The 25504-nt window shown below is 41.2% G+C and overlaps 1 protein-coding gene across 13 annotated transcripts in view; it reads right to left on the bottom strand.

Annotated features, from left to right (window-relative positions):
* Positions 1 to 25504, bottom strand: part of LAMA3 (laminin subunit alpha 3) — a 265614-nt gene that overhangs the window by 167201 nt on the left and 72909 nt on the right. For 9 of the 13 annotated variants that reach the window (NR_130106.2, XM_011525978.3, XM_011525982.3 and 6 more), the window contains exons 8-12: positions 24343 to 24461; positions 14279 to 14369; positions 11943 to 12074; positions 10247 to 10309; positions 3709 to 3843 (exon numbers count right to left, since the gene is read on the bottom strand). Coding sequence is in view for 12 of the 13 variants with exons in the window: in XM_011525978.3 (XP_011524280.1) it covers positions 3709 to 3843; positions 10247 to 10309; positions 11943 to 12074; positions 14279 to 14369; positions 24343 to 24461 (540 nt within the window). In the remaining variant the exon portion in view is untranslated. Of the gene's footprint in view, positions 1 to 3708; positions 3844 to 10246; positions 10310 to 11942; positions 12075 to 14031; positions 14370 to 24342; positions 24462 to 25504 lie in introns of those variants that run through there. The other 4 variants (XM_011525981.3, XM_047437503.1, XM_047437504.1 and 1 more) reach the window with 2 other exon arrangements.

Genomic DNA, 25504 nt, shown 5'->3' with positions numbered 1-25504 from the left:
ATTATTTGATGGTACCTGTTTCAGCTTTAAGAACATCCTTTATTATGTCTATTATTTCTTATAAGTCAGGTTGGGTGAATTCTGTTAGTTTTTGTTCATCTGAGAAAGTCTTTACTTAGCCTTGATCATGAATAGTAATTTTGATGGATAGGAGATTCTTGGTTGACAGTTTTTCCACTTTCAGCACTTAGAATATACGCTCTCACTGCCTTCTTGCCTCTATTGTTACTAATGAGAAGTCAGTTGTTATTCTAACTGGTGTTCCTGTGTTCATAATGAGTCTTTTTTTTCCTGCTTTCAAGATTTTCTCTTTGTCTTTGTCTTTCAAAATTTTAATTATGATTTTAACTATAATATGTCTGGCTGTGTGGATCCCTCTGTATTTATGCTATTTGGAGTTCATTAAGCTTCTTAGCTGTATAGATGGCTTTTCATTAAATTTAGTAAGTTTTCCACCATTATTTCTTTGGCTATTTTTTTCTATTCCTTTTTCTCCTCTCTTTCTGATGCTCTCATTACCCATATGTTGTGCTTAATGGTATCCCATATTTCTTTCAGGTTCTGTTTATTTATTTATTTATTTGAGACAGAGTTTCACTCTTGTCACCCAGGCTGGAGGGCAATGGTGCGATCTTGGCTCACTGCAACTTCTGCCTCCCAGGTTCAAGCAATTCTCTTGCCTCAGCCTCCCAAGTAGCTGGGATTACAGGCGCCTGCCACCATGCCTGGCTAATTTTTGTATTTTTAGTAGAGACGGGGTTTCACCATGTTGGCCAGGCTGATCTCAAACTCCTTACTTCAAGTGATCCACCCCTCTTGGCCTCCCAAAGTGCTGAGATAACAGGCATGAGCCACTGCCCCCGGCCTGTTTATTTATTTTCATTCTTTTTTTCTTTCTGTTTTCAGACTGCACAATCTCTATCAATCTGTCATTAAGTTTGCTGATTCTTTCTTCTGCTAGCTCAATTTACTGTTGAGCCACTTTAGTGAATTTTTCATTTCAGTTATTATACTTTTCAACTCCAAAAGTTCCATTTGGTTATTTTGTAAAACAATTTCTATCTCTTTATTGATATTCTCTATTCAATTAGATGTTGTCATCATACCTTCCTTTAATTCATTAACCATGATTTCCTTTAGTCTTCTATACAGATTTATAATAGCTGCTTTAAAGTCTGCTAAGACTACCATCTGGCTCATTCAAAAGTGGTTTCTATTGTCTTCTTCTTCCCCTATGTATGGGTCACACTTCCCTCTTTCTTTGAAATTCTGCTATGCTCTACAAGTGGACACAGGTGGAGGTGGCGCCATGGTCTTCTCAGTTTTCCTCTCCCACCATAGATCCCTACTCTATGAGCCAGCTTGGGTAGGGTTGATTGGGATCCCAGAATTCTCAGCCTGAAGTGCCTAAGTTAGAGCTACTACCCTACAAGTGGAGGGGTGGTGGGTAAGAGAGAGCTGGTCCTCTTTGCTGAGCCCACCTGGAATAGGGCTTCTGCTATACAGGACTGCAGAAGGTTGAGAAATATCAGTGGCCTTCCCCTCCCAAAATGAAACAAACCATAGCCCCAAACTGGGGCACAGGATAAAGAGAGTGCCCATCTTCTTGGCAACACATATGGGTAGATCTTCTATAAAACAGATTTGGGGATGGATAATGAAGGGGGTCATGGCTGAAATGTCACAGAGACTCTCATTTCTTACCTAGATTCAAATTTTCTTAAGTAATTGTTTCTTCATTTGCTATATGCTCTTATGACCATTAACAGAGACTTCAAACAATTTTTTAAAATATTTTCACTGGTTAATTTCTGTTTTACTGAAAAGAGTATCTACCAACCTCCCTCCTCTGTTGTTATGGAAGTCCTTCCTCCCCTCTGCTTTGTCATGAATACATTCATGCATTTTCTACCTACCTTAAAATAAATTAGCTCTAGTAGTGGAGAAATGTGGAAAAGAGCATTCTTAAAGTGTTGTATTATTTATTCATTATCTTTGTATCCATAAACACAAGCTTTGTCCATATGAATAAGTTAGAATATTTGTAATTCATTCTACCAGAATGAATCTGAAGTTGTGGCTGGTAGAGAGGAGGAAAAAAAGAAACCCTTTGATATATTTTCAGCCACAAGAATGTTTTGCACACCAGGAGCCAGCAGGTAAAGGAAAGGTTTGGGGTATGGGATTCAGGCATTTAAACAAACAGGGAGATGGCTGGAAATGGGACTACAAGCTCTTAAAATGATGCAGAGGGAAGTATAGGTCAGGAGAAGAAAGGTGCAAGTGAATAGCTAACTTATGAACAATTACTTCCTCAGTTCTAAGAGCTTTACCTGTCAGTACATATGTAACCCTCACAACAATGAATTATGAGACAGGCACTATTTTTTGGAAACTGAGGAACAGAGGGGTTAAGTAACTTGCCCAAGTTGATAGCTAGTGCCACCCCTGCTCTTCACTACCTTGTCCTCCAGCTTAGGGGAGGGAGTTTTTCATGCTTACAGTTCCTTAGTGTGGCTGACCTTGCAGGTGAGATGACCTAATACCTATTCTAATATCCTCCAGTGTTCAGAGGCTGGAAAGCTAAAGACAGCACTTCTCAGACTCTGTTGGGGCAGGGCTCTGGATGCCAATTGGGTTTGCAAATTGGAAGTGTGTGAATAAGATTAGACCGATGGGAAATAAGGAGGAGGCTGCATCCTGTAGCTGGCTGAGCATTTATGCAGCTGTGCTCTGACTCTGGCTTCCTGGATGCCAAGAGATGAAGTCACCAACCATGGGCTTCCCATCCTTGCACTGGGACATAGCAGTCTGGGCTTAAAACCCAGCCATTCCATTGGAGGCCTCCTTGGAAGCCCAGCCTAGAGCCTGCTGCTCTGGCTCTTAACAACTCCTCTGGGCTAGCACCTAATTACCTATAATAAATCTCTTTCTTTTTATAGTGTCTGAAGTGGTGTTTTATTTCCTGCCTTGATCCTGGACTGATAATCTTCTCCTCTTTCTCCTCCCTTCCCCTACACCATTGTCTGCAGAAAGAAGAATAATGTCAGACAGTAGAAAGGAGGCAGGGGAGAATAATTTGGGCAAATTCATTCATTCATGTGTTCACTCACCCAGCATTGAGTGCATACCTGCCATGCTCTAGGGACCGGACCAGACACTTCCTCCTCCCACCTTCCATCCCCCCTTCAGCGACCCTTGCCGGGATGGGATACTAGGATACAAACAAGTGGGGAGGAGGGGGTTTGTGGTCTCATGTCTCTATGGTTTGCATGTGCTGTCCCCTCTCTCTAGAACACCCTGCCTCCTTCTGTCATCCACCTTCCCATCTTTCTAATCTTATTCACACACTTCCAATTTGCAAACCCAACTGGCATCTGGAGACCCGCCCCAACAGGATCTGAGAAGTGGTGGCAGGTTCCTAAATGCTGTTCAGATACCACCTCCTCTCCAGAGCCAGGATTTGAACCCAAACAGATTATTTCAGAGTCCATGTGCTTAACTACCAGGGAGGAGGCAGGGTAAGGTTGGAAAGAAGGGAAGTGACAAGGTCCAGGTAGGACCATCACATGTAACATCCATATATAAGCCAGGGGCCCATTTATTAAACTGCAAGCCAGACAGCTCTGCCAGAAAGATCTGCATTTCCTCAGGAGGAAATTTATCTTGAGGGATTGATTATGAATATGCTATGTTCTGCCCACTTACCTTGGCAAATAGGGAATGAGTAGAAACCAGAGCGGCAGGTATCACATCGAGGGCCCTCAACCCCAGGGCGGCACAGGCACCGTCCGTGGGCATCACATATTTCAGGGAGAACACCTTCCAGATTACAGTCACACCCTGCAGAAGACAGGAAACTTTCAGAAGGGGTCTCCATCTTCCATCACTTTCTTAATTTCTCCCTTCCCCTAGGTTTCTATCATGGGAATATAGATTATTAATTATCTATGGCTGTTAAACATTCTTAACGCAGAAGACTACACTGCGTTGAAGGGAAATTTTTAAAAATTCACAAAAGGTCAGAGATATCATTAAAAAAAACACGTAAGGATGGGCATTCATTTGCAAACCATTCTTTTAACATCTATTCCTGTGGAAACATTTTATTTTCCCTCTAAAGCCGAGCTTTGTAAAGTATAACTTCAATTTAATAGATTCCCATCTCATGACAATCGTGAATTAAATGTATTTCTTCCTTCCAGTTTTTAGAAGGAAAGAAACTAACATCAATTCAGCCCTACTACATATCAGGCATTGGGGGCTTCCCTTGGATCATCTCACTTAATCCTCCCGGCACTGGCCTTCCCCACAGCCAGGCTGCTTCTAGTACCTCTATCCAGGGCTTTCCCACCTCAGGACCTCTGCTCAGGCCAATCCCTCTGCCTGGTATACCCTTCCCTTAGCTCTCAGCACAGCCAGCTCTTTCTCATCCACCAGGTGTCAGTTCAAACATCAGCTCCTCAGAAGGTCCCCCTGACCAGTCTGTATAAATGGCCCCCCCACTTTCCTCCTTTTATTCTCTATCTTAGCTGTGTTTTTCTTTCACAACACTTTCATTTTTGGGATCACATATTGGTCTGTGACTTGCTTTGACCACTAGAATGAGGTGTAAGTGTTGTTGTCATGCAACTTCTGAGTCCAGGTCACTACAGGCCTTGCCGTTTCCATTCTTGCCCTCCAGGAATCCTGAGACCACCATGGGAGGGACCAGTCTGGCCTCCTTGAGGACAAAAGGCCACAAAGAGGGATACTCCCAAATGTCCCAACTAAATCCAGCCCCAGAAACCCTCCAGCAAGTCCAGCAGAAGACCCGCCCAGCCAACCCACACAATTGAGAGAAATAACCCTTGTTCTTTTAAGCTACTAAGTTTTGGGGTGACTTAAGACACAGAAATAGATAAGTAAATCACCCAGCAGACTGGACACTTCATGAGAGCTCACCACAGGCCCCCAGGGCCAGCACACATTATTCCTTGGGAAATAAATATTGCTCAAAAATAATAATGAAGTCAAACAAGAGCCCTGTAAGACAGGTAAGTATTTTATAGATGAAAAAAAAAAAAAAAAGATGCTCAGAAAGGTTAATTAACTTCCCCAAGTTCACACAGCCAGGGAAGCAGAGTCAGAATTTGAACCCAGAACTGCCAGATTTCAAAGCCCATGGTCTTTCTATTATACTAAAAATACAAGTTGAGAATGATTTTAAAAGCAACTTTCAGAGTGTGTCCTGGATTAGCATATATATTCAAATCAATCTCATATTTAAAGCATCTATTTCTTTTTTCTTTTTATTTATTTATTTATTTATTTTAGACAGAGTTTCATTCTATCGCCCAGGCTGGAGTGCAGTGGCTCAATCTCTGCTCACCATAACCTCTGCCTCCTGGGTTCAAGCGATTATCATGCCTCAGCCTCCCGAGTAGCTCGGATTACAGGCGTGTGCCACATCTGACTAATTTTTGTATTTTTAGTAGAGACAAGGTTTCACCATGTTGGCCAGGCTGGTCTCAAACTCCCGACCTCAGGTGATCCGCCTGCCTCAGCCTCCCAAAGTGCAGGATTACAGCGTGAGCCACCATGCCTCGCCCTGAAAGCATCCATAATTCTATAAATTACATTAATATCTAAATTTGCAACAGGTCCCCTAAGGAAGATCGTAAAAGACTCAAAGATTCAGCTGGGTCCACCCTACCTACCAAGGAAGGAAAGTCTCATGCATTTTGGAAAGATTTTCTACATGGGTTAAAATAGTAGTTAATATGAAAAGTAGCCAAATCCCTTTGCCCTAAACCCTTAATTTTTCAAATAAAACGTTAGTAACTAAGTTGTGGAATTATTTTTTTCTAATACAATAATTAAGAAAAAAATCACAGTAAATCAGAACAACTTTATAGTCTTTACATGATTTTTAACTTGTTCATACTTCAACCAAACAGTTGCCTAATTTGACAAAAACAGCATTGGAAGTGAAGGGATTTAGAATATGCCATTTTAGCATACTGACTGTTTCCAGCAAAGGCACTTTAGAAGCAGCAGATGTAGGAAGGGTTCTCTGATCTCACCCTTTCTACCTAAAAGCAGGTCATAAAATTTCCCAGGAGAAAGGTGCCTGCCCTCCTTGTACCAGGAAGACAGCATTCTTATCACCGGAGACTGGGAGTCGACTGGATTGGATCTGCACCAACAAACCCACTAAAATAACACTTAGTTTCTCCCAGTGCTTCCTAGCCAGGGTCCCACAATGTAGTGCCACTAGCCCAAGCTCTTTTGTCTTGTCACACTTCATACTTCATTGTTCTTTGTGTAAACATGTACAATACATAGGCTTTGGGGCCTAATGGCTTTTTTGGGTCTTGATTTTCCTTCTAGAGACTCTCATGTACATGTAAAAATATTACATACATTTGTATGCTTTTTTACTGTTAATCTGTCTTAGGTTCATTTAATTCTAGGCCCAGCCATGGTACCTAAGAGGGTAGAAGAAAGTTTTTCCTCCTTTTCAGAAGTGGCAAGGACACATTCATGACAAGGGAAGCCTTGGAACCCAGGATGGCATGAGCACCACCCTGTCCGTCCATCACAGCTGCCATACAAGGTCCTAATGCCACAGCCCTGTAGGCTGAGAACGAATGTCACAGGGAAAGGGAACGTTTTTACCGTGAATTACAGTCTTGGCGTTAAACGAAGTATTGAGATTCAGTGAAAAACTTGGACTTTACCTTGGCATTGAGGCTCAAAGAATTCTGATTAAAATAGAAAAAGAAAGAACATCCCACACCTCATTACGAAGTCACAGTGATTATATCTCAAGAAAATCCCTTGAGTCCGTCTCTACTGCCAGAGTTCCAGACCTCATCTTTGTTTACCTGGATTATTTTGAGAACTTCCTAAGGAGGCTCTCTGCTTCCTATCTTGCTCCTTCTAATTCATTCTCCATGCTGGTGTCAAGAGTGATATTTCAAAAATATCAACCTTTTCATATCACTTCCCAGTTTTAAATCCCTTGACAGTGACCCAATGCCTGCAGGACAGAATACGAAGTCCTTCACATGTGACAGAATAGATCCTTCAACATTTTCCAAGCTATCAGCAACCCATGGGGCATCTTTGTGCAAATTAGAAAAAGGTGCCCCTTCCTCAAGATGCTTTCCTGTCACCTGCTATAAAATCATCATCATCAATATGCAAATCTGCAATGTCTTCCATGATTGTGATGCCCCTTAGATGAGGCACAGCTGTGCCTTGCAAACCTACACATCTGAGCTGGCTGCCCGCTCAGGTCTTTTCTTATTCCTCTAGGTCCTCTCCTTGAACTTCCTCTCTCTATCCCATGCTTCAGCCTTAATGACCTGTCTGCCATCCCCTCTCTCCTAGCCCCACGGCTTCTCTTCCCTGCCCCTCTGCCTGGCTGACTCCTCTTCACACTCCAAGACTCAGCTCAGATACCTCCTCCTGCTGCTCTGGGGAAGCCCTTCCAGCACTTCTGTCTCTCTCCTTTCTCCCCTCCCTCCCTCCCTTCCTTCTTCCTTCCTTCTTTCCTTCACCCTGGCTGTAAGGCTGCCCCTCCCATATGCTCTCATGGCACTTAACTCCTGCCATTAGAACTGTTGACCTTTCTGTCTCAGACTGGGAGCTCCCAGGCAGGAGGAACCATGTATCAGGCAGCTGCCTGGCAGTGACTAGCACAGCACAGGCACTTAATAAAAGTTTAATGAATGAAGAATATGCTAAGTATTCAAGACTGCAATTCTCCTCAGTAGTCACCATTCCTTAAATTCTCCGTTACTGGCATCTATGCAGAGCCTCCAAACTGAGCTATCAGAATGTGCCTGGCCCTCTCTGAGTCTTAGCGGGCAGGTCTCTAAGCCAACGTGACTGCCCCATCCTGTAGAGCTGCTGTCCTCAAGTGGCCCAGTATCTGACATGAGACAGTCCCACACACAGTGCAATAATGCACAGCACCATGGTTAGACTGAGGAGGAGTGTGGGTAGGGCAGAAGCAGGGAATGACGTCAGGAAGGTAACTGAGGTCCTGTTATAACTGACCTCCAGGGGGCCTTTGGTGCCACCCAGCAATCCCATGACTTTCCCAAGCCCATCCTCCCACCCACATTCCTGGATGACTCTCATACCTTCTCCCTACTCAACCCCGAGCCCTCCTCTCTTGCTTCTTGCTCTGACCTTGTTTGTTATTCCACAGAGAAAACTTTCAAAAACAGCCAGAAGAGAACATCCACGAGCTCCCACCACTGCCCCCACCCACCCCGCCTCTGGCCCATGTATTCTGCTTTCTCTTGTTTTAATCTTTCCCTCTCAACAAAGAGCAACTTCTTCCTTCTAACTGCTCAGCCGAAAAGCCTTGGAGTCACCCCAGAGCCCTCTCTTTCTCTAATATTCTACTTCCGGTCTAGCAATCCCTCAGCAAATCCTGTTGGTTCTACCTTCCGATGATATCCACAGTCTGTCCACTGCTGTCACCTCCGCTGACACCACCTGGGTCTGAACCACCATCATCTCTTCCTCATGGATTATGGAAAAACTTCCCATCAGGCCCCCTTGCTTCTTCTCTTCTCTTCTCTTCTCCTGAGATTTTCTTTCAATACAGTAGACCCAAAGAGCCTTCTATATAACATCATTTCTCTGTGCAAAACTCTCCATGGCTCCTGTCTCATTTTGAGTAAAAGAGAAGGCCTCTCTAGTGGCTGACGAGGGCCTCCATCCAGCCCCTGATGCCTTCCCTTCCTACCAGTCTCACCTTCCCTCACTCCACTTTCACACACCTGGTCTCTTTTTGTTCACTGAACACCCTTGGCCCAGGGCTGCCCCTGCCCCAGGGACTTTGCACTTGCTCTTTCCTATACCTGCTTCAGTGAGGCCTTCTCTGACTGCTCTAATTTAAATCTGTAAACCTCACATTCCCTAACCTCCTCTCTGTCTTGTTTTTTCAGCAGCGCTTATCACCAAGGCTGCCTCCAGTCCATACCTGAGTTACTATGTTGCTGTAGAGCCTGAACTTCACTGCCAAGGAGAGCTCTTCAGAAACCATCTTCTCTGCTGGCCCACACCGTGGCGCTGCAGGAGGAGGGGCACTCGTGCTCACACATGACTGGCACTACCTCCTCCCCAGTGACCACCAGGCCTCTGCTGGCGCCCTGGGGTAGGAGAGGCAAACTCAGGAGATGTGAGCATGAGTCCGATGGTGCCCAGTCGTGGGCTGTGTGCGTGTGCTGTGCCCTTCCTTTGGTGCAGGCGTGCCCTTCTGAGAACCTGTGCCTCCCTGTGGATGCCGTGATGGGTTTATGTAAGAAACTCCCCATGGCTCTGGAACCCAGCGCAGAGGCCTGGAATCTTCTCACATGAGTTAGTTTATGCCTATGATGTGAATGGCTCCCCCTTAAAAGTGGCACCCATGTTCAGAATACAACTCTGCCTCTCACAGTCTAATGAATTAGCTATTTTCCTTGCTTGGGTTTCTATATTATGTATGTTATTATCTGGGTTTCTCCACAGGAATATAAGCTCCAAGAAAGCTGGGAATTTTTTCTGTTCTGTTCTCTGCTAAGTCCCCAGCAGCCAGAATGGTACTTTGCACATAACAGGGAATTTTAAAATATTTATGGAACAAATGATTTGGTAAATGTAACACCCACATCCTCTAGTACTCACCCCTTCACCCTCAGAGACAGCTTACTGCACACCACTGCTACTCTCTGCCAGGGGCTTGTTTTGGGACTGCAGAAGCTCCTCAGCCTTCCTGAAGGCCAAGCTGTAAGTGCCAGAGGGTGAATGCCCCAGAAGCATTAATGCCTCCACTAATGGCAGATAACTGCCATTACCTGCCATTGCACCTTTATCATGGTTCCCTTCACTCCCTGACTCTCTCCCTTCCTGGGATCACCTCCCAAATAAATGACTTGCTCTCCATTCCTTTTTCAGGGTCTGTTTTCGGGGAACTCAAAAAAGACAACAGACCACTGGCTGCCATTGAAGGTCTTTGAGCAAGCTGGTGATATCTAATACAAGCTCTGCACAGTTTCCTACGTCAGGTAGTGCCCTTGTAAAAGACAGGCTGGAGTGGGGACTGATGGGTGGGGAGTAGGTCAACTAGGAGACACCTGCAAGGCACCTACCATGCTCTAGGAAGGGAGACTTGGCCTTGGATGTGGCAGTGCACACAGGAAGTAGGAAAAGAATAAGGGCATAACATTTTCACTGGAGTTAAACCAAAAGGGAGGTTACTTGCCTTTTATATCTCCAGCTACTGGATCTTCTGAACTTGGTGTAGAAACAGGAAAAATGGGAATTCCTGTAAAAATAGTTTATTAAAAAATACAGAGGATGATTAAGGAGATAGTAAAGTAAAACATTAAGTTGTACTAACTAGGAAGACACCCTCTGTCACTTAGTGAAAAGTAGCATATAGAGACTAATTTAAAGAAAGGCGATATTGCTATATCTCAAATGTGTTTAGTAACTGAAACCAGACTGGCCAGACATTCCCATTTGTATAACGATGAACAGAAATGAATGTTTCGTGCTCACAATAGCTAAGTCTCAGCCTGAGCAGGGATGAGTTTGGCTTCCTTAGCTTTTTTATTGTTTTTTTTTTTAACATAAAATCAAAGCTTTAAAGAAATATTTTCTTTCATTTTTTTCTCCTGACATTTTGTTTATGCCATAAAACTACTTCAGGTTTCTTCCTCTTCTTTTCACTAAAAAGGCAGGCCGAGCGCAGTGGCTCATGCCTGTAATCCCAGCACTTTGTGAAGCTGAGGCAGGCAGATAATCTGAGGTCAGGAGCTCAAGACCAGCCTGACCAACATAGAGAAACCCCATCTCTACTAAAAATACAAAATTAGCCAGGCGTGGTGGCACATGCCTGTAATCCCAACTACTCAGGAGGCTGAGGCAGGAGAATCGCTTGAACCTGGCAGGCAGAGGTTGCAGTGAGCCAAGATCGCACCATTGCACTCCAGCCTGGGCAACAAGAGCGAAATTCTGTCTCAAAAAAAAAAAAAAAAGGCAAATACAATTTCTGTTCAGCCTTCTACCAAGACTCACAGATATAAAATTCTGATGTGGTGTCTCATCAACCAAAGTAGGACAGTCTCCACAGAGAAAGTGGGTGCAATTTAAGCAATTACCTGGGGTGGGAGGTGTGAATGAGAACATATAGTTACCCATTCATGTGAGTCCTGCCCCCATGTCCCCACAACTCAATATGCTTTTCCTATGATGGCTCTGCAGGAGTCAGGAGGGTGGGGCCAGGAAACATCTGATAGAGTGATACAGAGAGACAGGCTCTCCTTGTGACAGTGTTTCTTTGTCCTAACCCCAAAGTGCAGTTTTCTCACTGCTGCACAACAAACAGAGCCAACACTCATCACAGTTCGCATAGCTGGTTTCACAGATTCTCCTGTTTCATGCTCTACAGTGTTTCTGACAGATATGTATTTTTTTCTCTTGGTGATGCTGAGATGTTCACTTAGATCACTGCCGTGGGGTGGAGTCTGGGTGCTTATAACTTGGCCTCTTGTACAGCAGGAGAGAGGAAACGTTTCCCTGGGCTCCTGAAACACAACACACACTATATGCATGCAGATAAATATCTGGAAGCCCATGATATTTCTCCTACATTTAGGAGGAAAAATCACACACATGGATTATTAAGTTAAAATTGCCAATGTTTGACTTTTTGACCTACTGAGATGGCAATTTCTGTGGCACAACATAACACTTTGGAGATAAATAAGACTGTAAAATGTACCAATATAAAATTTATATTCCAAACTTTCAGAAACACTTTTACATAAATACAACCCACCTGGCCCCATTTCTGTCTCTCCTTCCCTACCTGTCCACCATGCCTCAGAGGTTAGTGCACAAAAGCCAGCTATGGACCAAAAAGGGTGGCCTCTTGTTCTGCAGTGGGTACTTACTCAAGCAAAATGGGAAATTGTAGTATCCAATTGCACACTTCTCACAGTTGTCTCCGTGGAAATTTGGCTTGCAGTGACAGCGGCCTGAACCCTGTTCACAGCCATCCGCATGCTCAGGGTCACAGCTGCAGGCTAAGAGAAATCCCAGTTTTCAAAGGATCCGTCCTTCACTGCACTTAACAAAGCAAATATGTTCCAACACTTCCCAGGCAACGTTCCATACTTGATCCTTGGTCTATAGGTATTCTTGAAAGGGCACAGCCTATTTCCCACCTCACACCTGATTGATGGTTCTCACTGCCCGAAGCTCGTGAGCTGTCAGAGATCAGCTGTAATGAGCGTCCACACAGAAGTTCTCATGGATGTCATTTATCCCACTGAGCATTGCCCAGCTCACTGAGTCAGAGGCAAAGCCTGCATGCTACAGTCAGAGGGGTTGGGGGTGGGGGTGGGGGTATTTGCCTTAGTTCTGTTGGGCACAGCCCTTTCTAGCTATGAACCAACTGTGAATGCCCACAAAGTGGTCATCAATACACAGTTATGATACAGATGCAAGTGTGGAGTGCCTAGACATGGAGATAGAGTCTGTGGACAGCAGACCAAGACCCATAAAAAAAATGTTAATCTGAGTGAAATGGCTTACTGAAGGCAGCTTTTGCAACCAAAAACGATTATCGGGCACGATTATCAGGCTTGCACTGGAGTAAGGCATAGTGCAAGTATAAGAAGATTGTCGACCTCCCACTTGGGGGCCTCCCTTGACCTGGCAGGTGCACCCTGGACAGGGAAAATACTGTCACAGCTCATCTGAATACATCTCCTGTAAAGACCTGGGTGACCTGGCATCCTGGTGTCCTTTGCTTAATTTAGTTAGGATTCATGTGTCCTACTGATCCTTTACGCCAAGCCTCTAATACCTCTGTGGACCACTTCAATGATGAAAAAACTAGAAAGGTGATGAAACAGTGAGGCTCCTAATGAGGTACAATTACATTGGCAATGTCCTGTTTTCCTTTCCCAATGCCTATTCTTTGTAGGCACAAGACAGGTGATAGACATACTTTGCAGCATGATGTGGAAGAAGGAAGAAAAGTGAAAACACATTTTTTTTAACAACTAAGAATGCCCTAGAGAGAAGTAAATCCATCTACATATTCCCTGGACTTTAATACCCACAAATGTTAATGGTATGATTAATCATGGAGTGGGCACAGGATTGACTTCAGGACTGGAATTGCTTTCCAACTGTGACAACCAGACAACTTAAAAGAACCAAGCATTGAATAGGGTATAGGTTGCACATGTAGGGAAAAGTCTGTAAATCTGACCCAAGATTCATAATTCTACAAGGAAAAACTAGAGGCATTCTTCTGTATAATAGAAGAGTTATGGCACAGTCATGTCAGACAGAAAAGAACTATATCCTGGATCTAGCAGTTAGCGGTTTTGTCACCTAGCCTAAATTATATATAACTACTCAGACTGTTTGGTTTCTCCGTATCTAAAAATGAGGACAATAATACAATGTCCTATTTGTTGTAATAATTAAACAAGACCTTTGTGAAAGTATTTAGGTAATGCCTCATATATGGCAAGTACTCAACAAATATTAGCTATTTTAAACAATGTGACTATTATTAAATCCTTATGAACTCATTACTGTGTTGTCTTGTTCTAATTCAAGTTGTTGTTGTTGCTTCTGAGACAGAGTCTCACTCTGTCATCCAGGCTGGAGTGCAGTGGCGTGATCTTGGCTCACTGCAACCTCCGCCTCCTGGGTTCAAGCAATTCTCATGCCTCCACCTCCAGAGTAACTAGGATTACGGGTGAGCACCACCACACCTGGCTAATTTTTTTCTATTTAGTAGAGACAGGGTTTTTCACCATGTTGACCAGGCTTGTCTTGACCTCTTGGCCTCAAGTGATCCACCTGCCTCAGCCTCCCAAAGTCCTGGGATTACAGGCCTGAGCCACTGCCTCCAGCCCAAAAATTGAAATTATTAGAGATCATAGAAACATGTCAAAACAACAGAAAATGGAGAAACTAACATTTATCACAGGCCTAATATGTGACAGGCCCAATGGTAAGTATTTTCCTACATGCTTTTGATTGCATTTTATTTAATCTTATGAAATACATTATCATTTCCATTTACATGCAATAAATCCAAAATTCAAAGAGACTGTGTAAGTGACTGAGGTCACATAGCGAGCACAACTAATACTCTGAAGAGAGAGGGCATGAAGGAAGTTATTAACTGATCCAAAGTTAGCCTGATGACTTCGCTGAGGCAGTACACACAGGCTAAGATACACCAACTTGAAATGAAACTTACGGATGCAGCCATCAGGGGCATCCACTGGAACCCCATAAGGGCGGTAATAGCCCTTAGCACACTGTTCACAGTTTACTCCAGCTGTGTTGTGCTAGAAAGAAACAAAAGAAACTTAAAGGAAGGGTTCTGGGGAAGACGATTCTCCTTATTTTGTGCTACTCACCCAGAGGAATAATTCTGTCATATACAATTGTAATTTTGAAGTCACTGAAATAATAATTTAAAAAAGCATTAATCTTGACCTTGACCAAAATTTACCATAGGATTGGCTTAATCTTGGCTCTGGAATTTTTTTCTTATTGGGAGAGGAAAGGAAACATTCCATCAACTGGACAAGCCCAGGCTTTATCCTTGATCGAAGAATTTGCTTTAATGAAGCACCTGACATGTGAGTGAGAAAACACTGAAGAGGACTGTTCTCGTAGCCTCATTCAGAAGAACTGACGAATGGATAATGAATCGCACAGTTTAACCCAAGGGTCATGTGTGCATTTACACCTTCTCCAATTTTGGAAGGAATAACATATACAGATCCTTGTCTCTCTTCGTTCTAATTTTATCTGTGCTTTAGTCATAAAACCCTTTTCTGAATACCTCTGTTTCATGAATGGAAAATGGAGGCATGAGTCTCATACACGGAGCTCATTTTAAAGTACAATACTAGGCAGCTCTTTCCAGTTCATGGTTAATCCTTGTAATTGCCACATAATTAAATTACCCAACATGCATCATCAGTTTCCAAAACTATGGATCTAGCTCATTTCTGCCTCTTTTGCTCTAACTTGGGAATAATTAGGAGGACAATGTTCTTTCACTAATGAAAAGAAAGGCAATAAGAAGTTAACAAGAACAAAAACACAATTTGACCCACACAAAAGTCTGCACAGAAACACAGAGGGAGAACAAAGACCCATTCTGTATCCTCTCCTGTTTTAGATAATTTTATTAACTACAGACTTTTCTTTATTACCGCTCATTTTCCCATAGGCTAAAATCTGAATTCACTTTAATGTTGAGGTCTAAAACCACATTGGCCACTTCTGTGACTTGAAATTTACATGCATAAACATGGTGGGTAAATCAGAAACAGCTGTGGCCCACCTTCCCATCCGATGTCAATTAACCCTCAAATCTGTTGTTTGCCACTGTTTCTTACCATAGACAGAGGACATCAGGTTAACTAGACTGGAAATAGTGAAACCAACATAACAACGACACAACTAGGGAGTGAGTTTAAGACTTAGATCAGCCCAGGTGCAGTGGCTCACGCCTGTAATCCCAGCAGTCTGGGAGGCCAAAGTGGGTGGGTCACAAGGTCAGGAGTTCAAGACCAGCCTGACCAATATGGTGAAACCCCGTCTCTGCTAAAAATATAAAAATTAGCCGGGCATGGTGGCACACACCTGTAATTCCAGCTACTCAGCAGGCTGAGGCAGGAGAATTGCTTGAACCCAGGAGGCAGAGGTTGCAGTGAGCCGAAATCACACCACTGCACTCCAGCCAGGGTGACAGAGCAAGACTCCGTCTCAAAAAAAAAAAAAAAGACTTCGATCAGAAGTCACATCTCTGTGGAAGAGGTGAAAGACTTTGTTTTAGTTCATGGAGATAAAGTATCTTCATGCATCATCTCAAACAATGGGGATAATCTTCAATCTTAGTTAAGAGCATCAATATTTAAGGGAAAAGAAATCAAGAAGGAGTCAATCCAAAAATGTTGTGCTCCTGGCTTTCTTCTTTCATTACTCTTTTCTTTCAACATTTTATCTTGAAAAATTCCCAACTTTACAGTGAACACCTTTACACTCCCCCACCTACAATTTACCATTAATATTTTACCATATTTGCTTTATCACATAATTATCCATCCATCCATTCCTCTATCCATCCACTAATTCATCTTATCTCTTACGCATTTCAAAATAAATTGCAGCTATCAGTCACTTTCCCCTAAATACTTCACCATGCATTTAACTAGCTGGAATTCAGTATTTGTTTACAGTTTTTTTCTTCTGTTATAAAATTTACAAGTGCAAAAAACTTATAAGTGCAAAACTATTAATTGTACATCCACTGAGTCAAGACAAATGCATACATCTGTGAAATCCAATTCCTTATCTAGATATAGAGCAATATCATTACCCCAAAGTTCCTCTTTCCCCTTCACAGTCAATCTCCATCATCAACTCTTCAAAGTCAACCACATTTCTGACTTTCTCCACTATGGACTACTTTTACCTGTTTCAGAATTTCATTTAAATGGCCCTGATACTTTTGGGTGTGTGTTTTTTCAGTCGTCATTCACTGAGCATAATGTTTTTAAGATTCTTGCATGTCGCTGCATCCATCAGTAGTTTCTTCCTCTCTGTTGCTCCACAGAGTCCCATTCTATAGTTATGCCTGAGTTTCTTCATCCATTCTACTATTGTTGGTCACCTGGGCTATTTCTAGTTGGGGGTATTTGCATAAAGCTACTATAAACTTTTTGAAAACAAACATTTCCATTTCTTATGAATAAATGCCTATGAGTGGAAATTGTGAGTCATGGGATAGGTGTATGTTTAGCTTTATTTTTTTTAAATGGCCGTTTTCCCAAAGTAGTTGTACCATTCTGCATTGTTATCAACAATGATGAATAGGTGTGGTTATTCCACATTCTCACCAAAATTTGATGTTGTCAGCCTTTTTAATAATAGTCATCCTTTAAAGCTGAGGAAAAAATAGCAATCCTGGGGAGTATGTAGTAGTATGTCATTGTAATCTTAATTTGCATTTCTCTGATGACTAATAATGTTAAGCTCTTTTTTTTGTTTTGTTTTGTTTTGTTTTTGAGACAGAGTCTCGCTCTGTCGCCCAGGCTGGAGTGCAGTGGCGCGATCTCGACTCACTGCAACCTCTGCCTCCCGGGTTCACGCCATTCTCCTGCCTCAGCCTCCCGAGTAGCTGGGACTACAGGCGCCCGCCACCATGCCCGGCTAATTTTTGGTATTTTTAGTAGAGTCAGGGTTTCACCGTATTAGCCAGGATGGTCTCAATCTCCTGACCTCGTGATCCGCCCGCCTCAGCCTCCCAAAGTGCTGGGATTACAGGCGTGAGCCACAGCACCCGGCCTTGTTAAGCTCTTTGATGTACATTTATTGGCCATTTATATATCTACTTTTGTCAAGTAGCTATTCAAATCTTTTGAATTTTTTTGAGGTTTTTTTTTTTATAACTGAGCTGTGGAAGTTCTTTGTATATCCCAGATACCAACCATTTGTCAGGTTTATGTTTTGTGAATATTTTCTGTCTGTAACTTGCCTATTCATTTTCTTAATAGCATGTTTTGTTTTGAGCAGAAGTTTTTAATTTTGATAAAATCTAAATTGTCAATTTTTCATGGTTATTGTTGATGTTTTTGTCTAGTTTTATAAATTGCCAATAGGATGGTATTTAAATCTCCAACTATGATCATAGAATTGTCTATTTTTCCCTCTAATTCTGTCAAATTTTGCTTCATGTATTTTAAAGCTCTATTGTTAGATGCAAACACACTTATGATTACTGTCTCCCTGATGAATTTACTCTTAGCATTACGAAATGTCTTTATTTGTGTTAATGCTCTTTGTCTTAAAGTTTACTTTGCCTGATATTTTTACTCTATCCTTCTAATGTTTATTGTTTACATAGTATATTTTTTCCCATTCATTTACTTTCAACTTGTCCTTATATTTAAAGGTAAGTACTTGTGAACAATATAGTTGAGTCTTGCTTTTTTATTCATTCTTATTGCTTCTGCCTTTGAATTGGAGTGTTTAGTCCATTAACATTTAGAGTATTTTTTATAGAGCTGGATTTGGGTCTACCACTATTTGTATCTATTTTCTGCTTGCCCCTTCCTTTTGTGTCTGGTGTGTGTGTATGTGGTTTTGTGTGTGTGTGTGCTTGCGCACATGCATGCACTTCATCCCCTGTTCCTTCATTTATCTATTTTTTGGATTATTTGAATGTTTTTAAAATTACCTTTAGAAGTATCTATTGGCCTTTTAGCTGTACCTCTTTGCATTATTTTGTCAGCAGTTGTTTTAGGGACTACAATATATATCCTTCACGTCTCACAGTCAAATTAGAGTTAATATTGTATTATTTTTTATGCTATTGTTGCATATGTATTATATTTACATGCATTTTATAAATACCATGAGACAATGTCATAAATTTTGTTGTAAGCGGCCCTACATACTCTAATTTTTTCCAGCTATATTGAAGTATTATTTACAAAATATTCTTTTATTTTCCTTTTCCATTATTTATTCTCTCCTCTAAAACATTTACAAATGGGATTGAGTAAAGGAAAATAATTACAGATCATTGTATTACCATAAAAGGGCAGAGATTTGGAAATAAAGAGGGGTTGGGAAGGTAGGTAGTTTCCTAAAATTCTTTTTCCAAAAAAAAAATTCAACTCTAATTTTAGATTCAGGGGGTACATGTACAGATTTGTTAGCTGGATATATTGCATGGCGCTCAGCTTTGGTGTATGATTGATCCTGCCACCCAGGTACTGAGCATAGTACCCAATAGTTAGTTTTTCGACCCTTGTCGCCCTTCTTCGCTCTCCCCTCTAGTAGTCCCCAGTGTCTATTGTTTCCACCTTTATGTCCATGAGTACCCAATGTTTAACTCCCACTTGAAAGTGAGAACGTGTGGCGTTTGGTTTTCCGGTTTTGCATTAATTTGCTTAGGATAATGACCTCCAGCTGCATCCATGCTGCTGCAAAGGGTATGATTTCATTCTTTTTTATGTCTGTGTAATATTCCATCATGTATATATACCACATTTTCTTTATCCAATCCACCACTGATAGGCACCAAGGTTGATTCCATGTCTTTGTTATTGTAAATAATGCTCCAATGAACATATGAGTGCATGTGACCTTTTGATGAAATAATTTATTTCTTTTGGATATATGCCAATTAATAGGATTACTGGGTTGAATGGTAGTTTTGTTTTCTTTGAGAAATCTCCAAACTGCTTTCCATAGTGGCTAAAATAATTTACATCCCCACCAGCAATGTATAAGTAAGTGTTCTCTTTTCTCTGCAACCTGAGCAGCATTTGTTGTTTTTTGACTTTTTAATAATAGCCATTCTAGCTGGTGTGAGATGATATCTCATTGTGGTTTTGACATGCATTTCTATGATGATTAGTGATATGGAGCATTTTTTCATACGTTTGTTGGCCACTTGTATGTCTTCTTCTGCAAAGTGTCTGTTCATGTCTTTTGCCCATTTTTTAATGGAGTTATTTGTTTTTTGCTTGCTGAACTATTTAAGTTCCTCATATATTCCGAATATTAGACCTTTGTTAGGTGCACAGTTTGCAAATATTTTCTCCCACTCTGTAGGCTGTCTGTTTACTCTGCTGATAGTTTTTTTTTTTTTTGTAGTATAGAAGCTCTTTAGTTTAATTAGGTCCCATTTGTCAATTTTTTGTTTTGTTGAAATTGCTTTTGAGAACTTAGCCATAAATTATTTCCGAAGGCCAATGTCCAGAATGGTGTTTCCTAGGTTTTCTTCTAGGATTCTTATAGTTTGAGGTCTTACATTTAAATCTTTAGTCCGTCTTGAGTTAATTATTGTATAATATATGGTGAAAGGTAGGGGTCCAGTTTCATTTTTCTGCACATGGAGAGACAACTATCTTAGCACCATTTATTGAATAGAAAGACCTTTCCTTGCCAGGCACGGTGGCTGACACCTGTAATCCCAGCACTTCGGGAGGCTGAAGCGGGTGGGTCACCTGAGGTCAGGAGTTTGAGACCAGCCTGGCCAACATGGTGAAACTCTGTTTCTACTAATAATGAAAAATTAGCCAGGCATGATGGCACACACCTGTAGTCCCAGCTACTTGGGAGGCTGAGGCAGGAGAATTACTGGAACCCGGGAGGCAGTGCAATAAGCCCAGATCGTGCCACTGCACTCCAGCCTGGGTGACAGAGCAAGACTCTGTCTAAAAAAAAAAAAAAAAAAGAAAAGAAAGAAAAAAGAAAAAAAGTCCTTTCCTCATTGCTTATTTTTGTTAACTTTGTTGAAGATCAGATGGCTGTAGGTGTGTGGCTTTATTTTTGAGTTCTGTATTCTGTATAGTTTGAAGTCAGGTAATGTTATGCCTCTGGCTTTGTTCTTTTTGCCTAGGGCTGCTTTGGCTATTTGGGCTCTTTTTTTGGTTTCTTCTGAATTTTAGAATAGTTTTTTATAGTTTTGTCAAAAATGACATAGATAGAAATAGCGTTGAATCTGTAGATTGCTTTGGGCAGTATGGCCACTGTAATGTTACTAATTCTTCCAATCCATGAGCATGGAATGTCTTTTCATTTGTTTTTGTCATCTATTATTTCTTTCAGTCAGTATTTTGTAGTTGTCCTTGTAGAGATCTTTCACCTCCTTGGTTAGATGTATTCCTAGATTTGGGCTTTTTTTATTGTTTGTTTTTTGCAGTTACTGTAAATGGGATTGTGTTCTTGATTTGGCTCTCAGCTTGAACATTATTGGTGCATAGAAATGCTACTGATCTTTGTATCCTGAAACTTTACTGAAGTTGTTTATCAGTTCCAGAAGCCTTCTGGAAGAGTCCTTAGGTTTTCTAAGTATAGAATCATATCATTAACAAAGAGAGATAGTTTGACTTTTTCTTTTGCTATTTGAATGTCTTCTATATCTTTCTCTTGACTGATTGCTCTGGCTAGGACTTCCAAGAATTTTTTTTTTCTTTGAGACAGTCTTTTTCTGTCACCCAAGCTGGAGTGTAGAGGCATGATCTTGGCTCACTGCAACCTCTGCCTCCTGGGTTCAAGTGATTCTCATGCCTCAGCCTCCCGAGTATCTGGGATTACAGGTGCACACCACCATGCCTGGCTAATTTTTGTATGTTTTAATAGAAGCAGGGTTTCACCATGGTGGCCAGGCTGGTCTCAAACTCCTGACCTCAGGTGATCTGCCCACCTCGGCCTCCCAAAGTTCTGGGATTACAGGCATGAGCCACCACGCCCAGCCAAGAATTTGTTTTTAAATAGTACTTTATATTTGCCCAGACACATACCATACTCTTCATTTCTTCCTAAAGATCTGAGTTTCCATCTCGTATTACCTCTCTTTAACCTAAAGAACTTCCTTTAGCATATCTTGTAGTGTAGGTCTCTTAGACAATAAATTCTCTTAGTTTTATTTTATCTACCAAACAATTTTCTTTTTGCTTTTATTCTTGAAGGATATTTTTACTGAATACGGAATTCTGGGATGATGGTTCTTTTTTCTTTTAGCACTTTAAAGATACTATTCCTTCTGTGACCTCCAGTTTCTAATAAAAAGTCCACAGTCATACTATGTTGTAATGTTTTCTCTGTCTACTTTCAAGATTTTCACTTTGTCTTTGGATTTCAGCAGTTTGACTCCACTAGGCCTAGGAATTATTTTCTTTGTATTTCTCCAGGTTAGGGTTCATTAAGCTTTTTGAATCTTAGCCTATTGCAAAATTTGAGGTATTTCCTACTATTATTTCTTCACTTTTTTTTCTGATTCATTGTCTCTTCTCTGCTTCTGGGAGTCCAATTACATGTTCCTTACATCTTTAGCTATTGTCTCACCAGTTCCCAAATCTCTGTTCATTTGAAATATATATATTTTTCTTTCTCTTCTTCAGACTAGATAAATTCTACTAATCTATCTTCAAATTCACTGACTCTTTCTTCTATTACCTCCTTTCTGCTATTCGGCCCCTCCAATGGATTTTTTATTTAACATATTGCATTTTTTAGTTATAGAATTTTCATTTTGATCCTTTTACAGTTTTTATTTCCCTACTGATATTTATTATCTTTTCATTCATTGTGACTATATTTTAATCTATTCTCTTGAGCATAATTATAATAGCAGCTCTAAAATCCTTAACTGCTAATTTCAACATCTGGGGCATGTCAGAATTGGTCCCTATTGATTGTCTTTTCTCTTAAGAATGGGTCACTTTTTTTGAATCTTCATATGTTACAAAATCTAGGGTTGTAGCCTAGACATTGTGAATATTGTGTTGTAAGGATTCCAAATCCATTAGCATTCCTCTAAAAAATGGTTTTTTTTCTTTATGAGACAATTAACTTTACTCAAGCTGCACATTCTGACTCTTAAGTGGTAACTAAAATGTCAAGTAAGTTATTTCAGTCTCAGATGAAATCCATCCTGTGCTTGGATTGTATGGAAAACGGACTGAGGGGTCAGTCAGAAACTTGAGAAGAATTTATATACAGAATTAGGGATTTCCCTGCTCTTGACTTCTCTTTTCCTGGACTCCCCACCAACTTTCCACAAGTTGGAGTTGTCCTAAGCTCTGCTCTCTGGTTCCTCAGAGAACACAGCTTTAAGACAAAGGTTCCATATTTCTAGAGAAATTTTAGCCAGACCACATGGGACCAACTTTGGCCTCCCCTCTGGGTAAAAGTCATAAAAATATGTAACTCACCCTATGCTGATCTGTTTTGCCAAGTTGCAGCTCCCCTCCAGTATCTTCCTGCTTATTTTTACTCTTCAGTGCTTTCAGATCATGGTTTTTGTGGTTTTGTCATTTGTTTATTTGTCTTTTGTATTTTGCCCATAGTTTATCATATGAACACCTAAAATATGACCCATTCTTAAGAGAAAAGACAATCAATTGAGACCAATCCTCCATGGGAGGGTTCAGTCCTGCAGCAGCCACTAAACCATAAAAGAAGCAGAACTCTTTCCTTGTCCATTGATTATCAATATAATATAAAAGTTAATTATGCTGCTAAAATGTACACTTAAAAATGGTTAAAATGGTAAATTTTATGTTATGTCTATTTTACCACAATAAACATTTTAAAGTTAATTACGCTACCTAAATATCTAACTGAGTAAAAGGCATTTTAAATTTAAGTTGGAAAACAAATGCAGTACACCCAAATAACAGTTCAGTAATTTCATAAGCAAAAAAAAAAAAAATGTTTTTGCAGACCCACTATGAAAAAAAAGACTACATTGATGGTTTCCTGGAACAGCAAAGTACAAAACATAATATCACTGAGAGAATGATGAAGAATAACAAAGTATTCTAAAGACACATTGAAGGGGCTTGACCTTTCATCCAGAGAAAAGATTCTACCTACACATTCTAGTCCAGTGTTTCTGCAACTTAATATGCACACAAATCACTTGAAGGTCTTATAGTGCTTAGCCTTATCCTGGGATTTCTCACTTATACATAAAACCTTGTGATTTGTAACAAACCTATTTTATATTTTATATTTTACTTATATTTTAATTATCTGCAATAACAGATAATATAAAAGTATGGAGGGGGGAGACAAATGAAGAATGGTGGCTCTCTCTATGGGTATGTAGCCCTGGTTTCATATTAATGGGCATCTCATGTGAAGAACGCCTCTTCAGTGGTAACATTAACAAAACACCTAAAAGAACACAAGAAAGAATGACAATGTAGACCAAATTCATAAACATTTGACAGGACTGTTAATGAATATCTCAATGAAGAGATGCCCTCTTCCGCCATACACTCCCTTAACTAAATTCCAGTGAAACCAGTTGTCCTACAGAAGGAATGAAAAATTAGTGTTTCATATTTGATGTCTATGAAAGACATCATTAATTGATCATGATGCATTTCCTCACTGAGTCTAGACTCAGAATCTGTCTGAAAACAGGATGTAGGGTCAGCACTAACATTAATAACTACTTGTCCTCCTATCTTAGAGTTTTTCTATCACAAGTTGGATAGCAGCCAGAGATGATAACCTGGAATCCTCCTCTCCATTTAGGCAAAATTTAAATCGAGAAACTGATCAAAGGGGTGTGGGTAAACATACCTCAGTCCATTTTCCTTACAATCCCTAAATTACATCCAGCTAACAAGGCCTTGTGTGAGCAACAGTGGAGAAATGGTCTCAGAAAACTCTTACGATTGCCTGCCACTTTCTTGACATCTCTTCAGGAGCAGAGCTTACTGAATACTCATTCCCCATGACAACACATCCACTTTGATTTAAATAGTGCCTCACCTGACAGTTAATGCAGACCCCTCCACCAGCATAGATGCCCTGGGTATTCAAGCTTGCCTGCTGCCGCTCAACATCTGGATCATAGTAACAGTTGCTGGCATGGCCGTGGCAGTTGCATGCTGAAAAAAAAGCATAATAAGTCAATATTCTCATTATTACTATCAGACGCTTAGTAAATAGCGTAAATAGTATTACTGCTAATTGAGCTATAAAAAAGTATATTCTGGAACACCCAGGACACTCTTAGGGGAAAATTTTTAGGGATCTTTACACAAAGACCAGGATATACTAAGATACAGTTTAGAGCTCCTTTCATTTGATATTCCATGAGCGAAGTTTCTCTTTTTTTAAAAAAATACTACTTGGGGCTAGGCATAGTGGCTCACACCTGTAATTCCAGCACTTTGGGAGGCCTAGGCGGATGGATCACAATGAGTTCAGGAGTTCGAGACCAGCCTGGCCAATATGGTGAAACCCTGTCTCTACTAAAAATACAAAAATTAGCCAGGCGTGGTGGCATGTGCCTGTAGTCCCAGCTATTCGGGAGGCTGAGGCAGAAGAATCGCTTGAACCCAGAAGGCGGAGGTTGCAGTGAGCCAAGATCTCGCCACTGCACTCCAGCCTGGGTGACAGAGCGAGACTCCATCTCAAAAAAAAAAAAAATATATATATATACTACTTGGGAGGCTGAGGCAGGAGAATCCTTGGAACCATGAGGCAGAGTTTGTAGTGAGCCAAGATAGTGCCACTGCACTCCAGCCTGGGTGACAGAGTGAGACTCCATTCTCCCTGCCACCGCCCCCACTCCCAAAGAAAGATATATAATCATATCTTCAAAGGAAGGTACACTGAAATGCAGGAGCACTGCCCAAGGCAACTTGGAAGTGTGTCGGGGCAGCTATCCTCATTTTGGTTCAAGTAAATTTTTTTTTTTTTGGTGACAGTCTCGCTCTGTCACCCAGGCTGGAGTGCAGTGGCACGATCTCGACTCACTGCGACCTCTGCCTCCTGGGTTCAAGCGATTCTCCCACCTCAGCCTCCCAAGTAGCTGGGACTACAGGCACCAGCCACCACACCCAGCTAACCTTAGTATTTTTAGTAGAGATGGGGTTTCACCATGTTGACCAGGCTGGTCTTGAACTCCTGACCTCAAGTGACCTGC

This window comes from Homo sapiens, chromosome 18 (assembly GCF_000001405.40).
Source record: "Homo sapiens chromosome 18, GRCh38.p14 Primary Assembly".
Lineage (NCBI taxonomy): Eukaryota > Metazoa > Chordata > Mammalia > Primates > Hominidae > Homo > Homo sapiens.
This window is presented reverse-complemented; position numbering and strand designations above follow the sequence as displayed.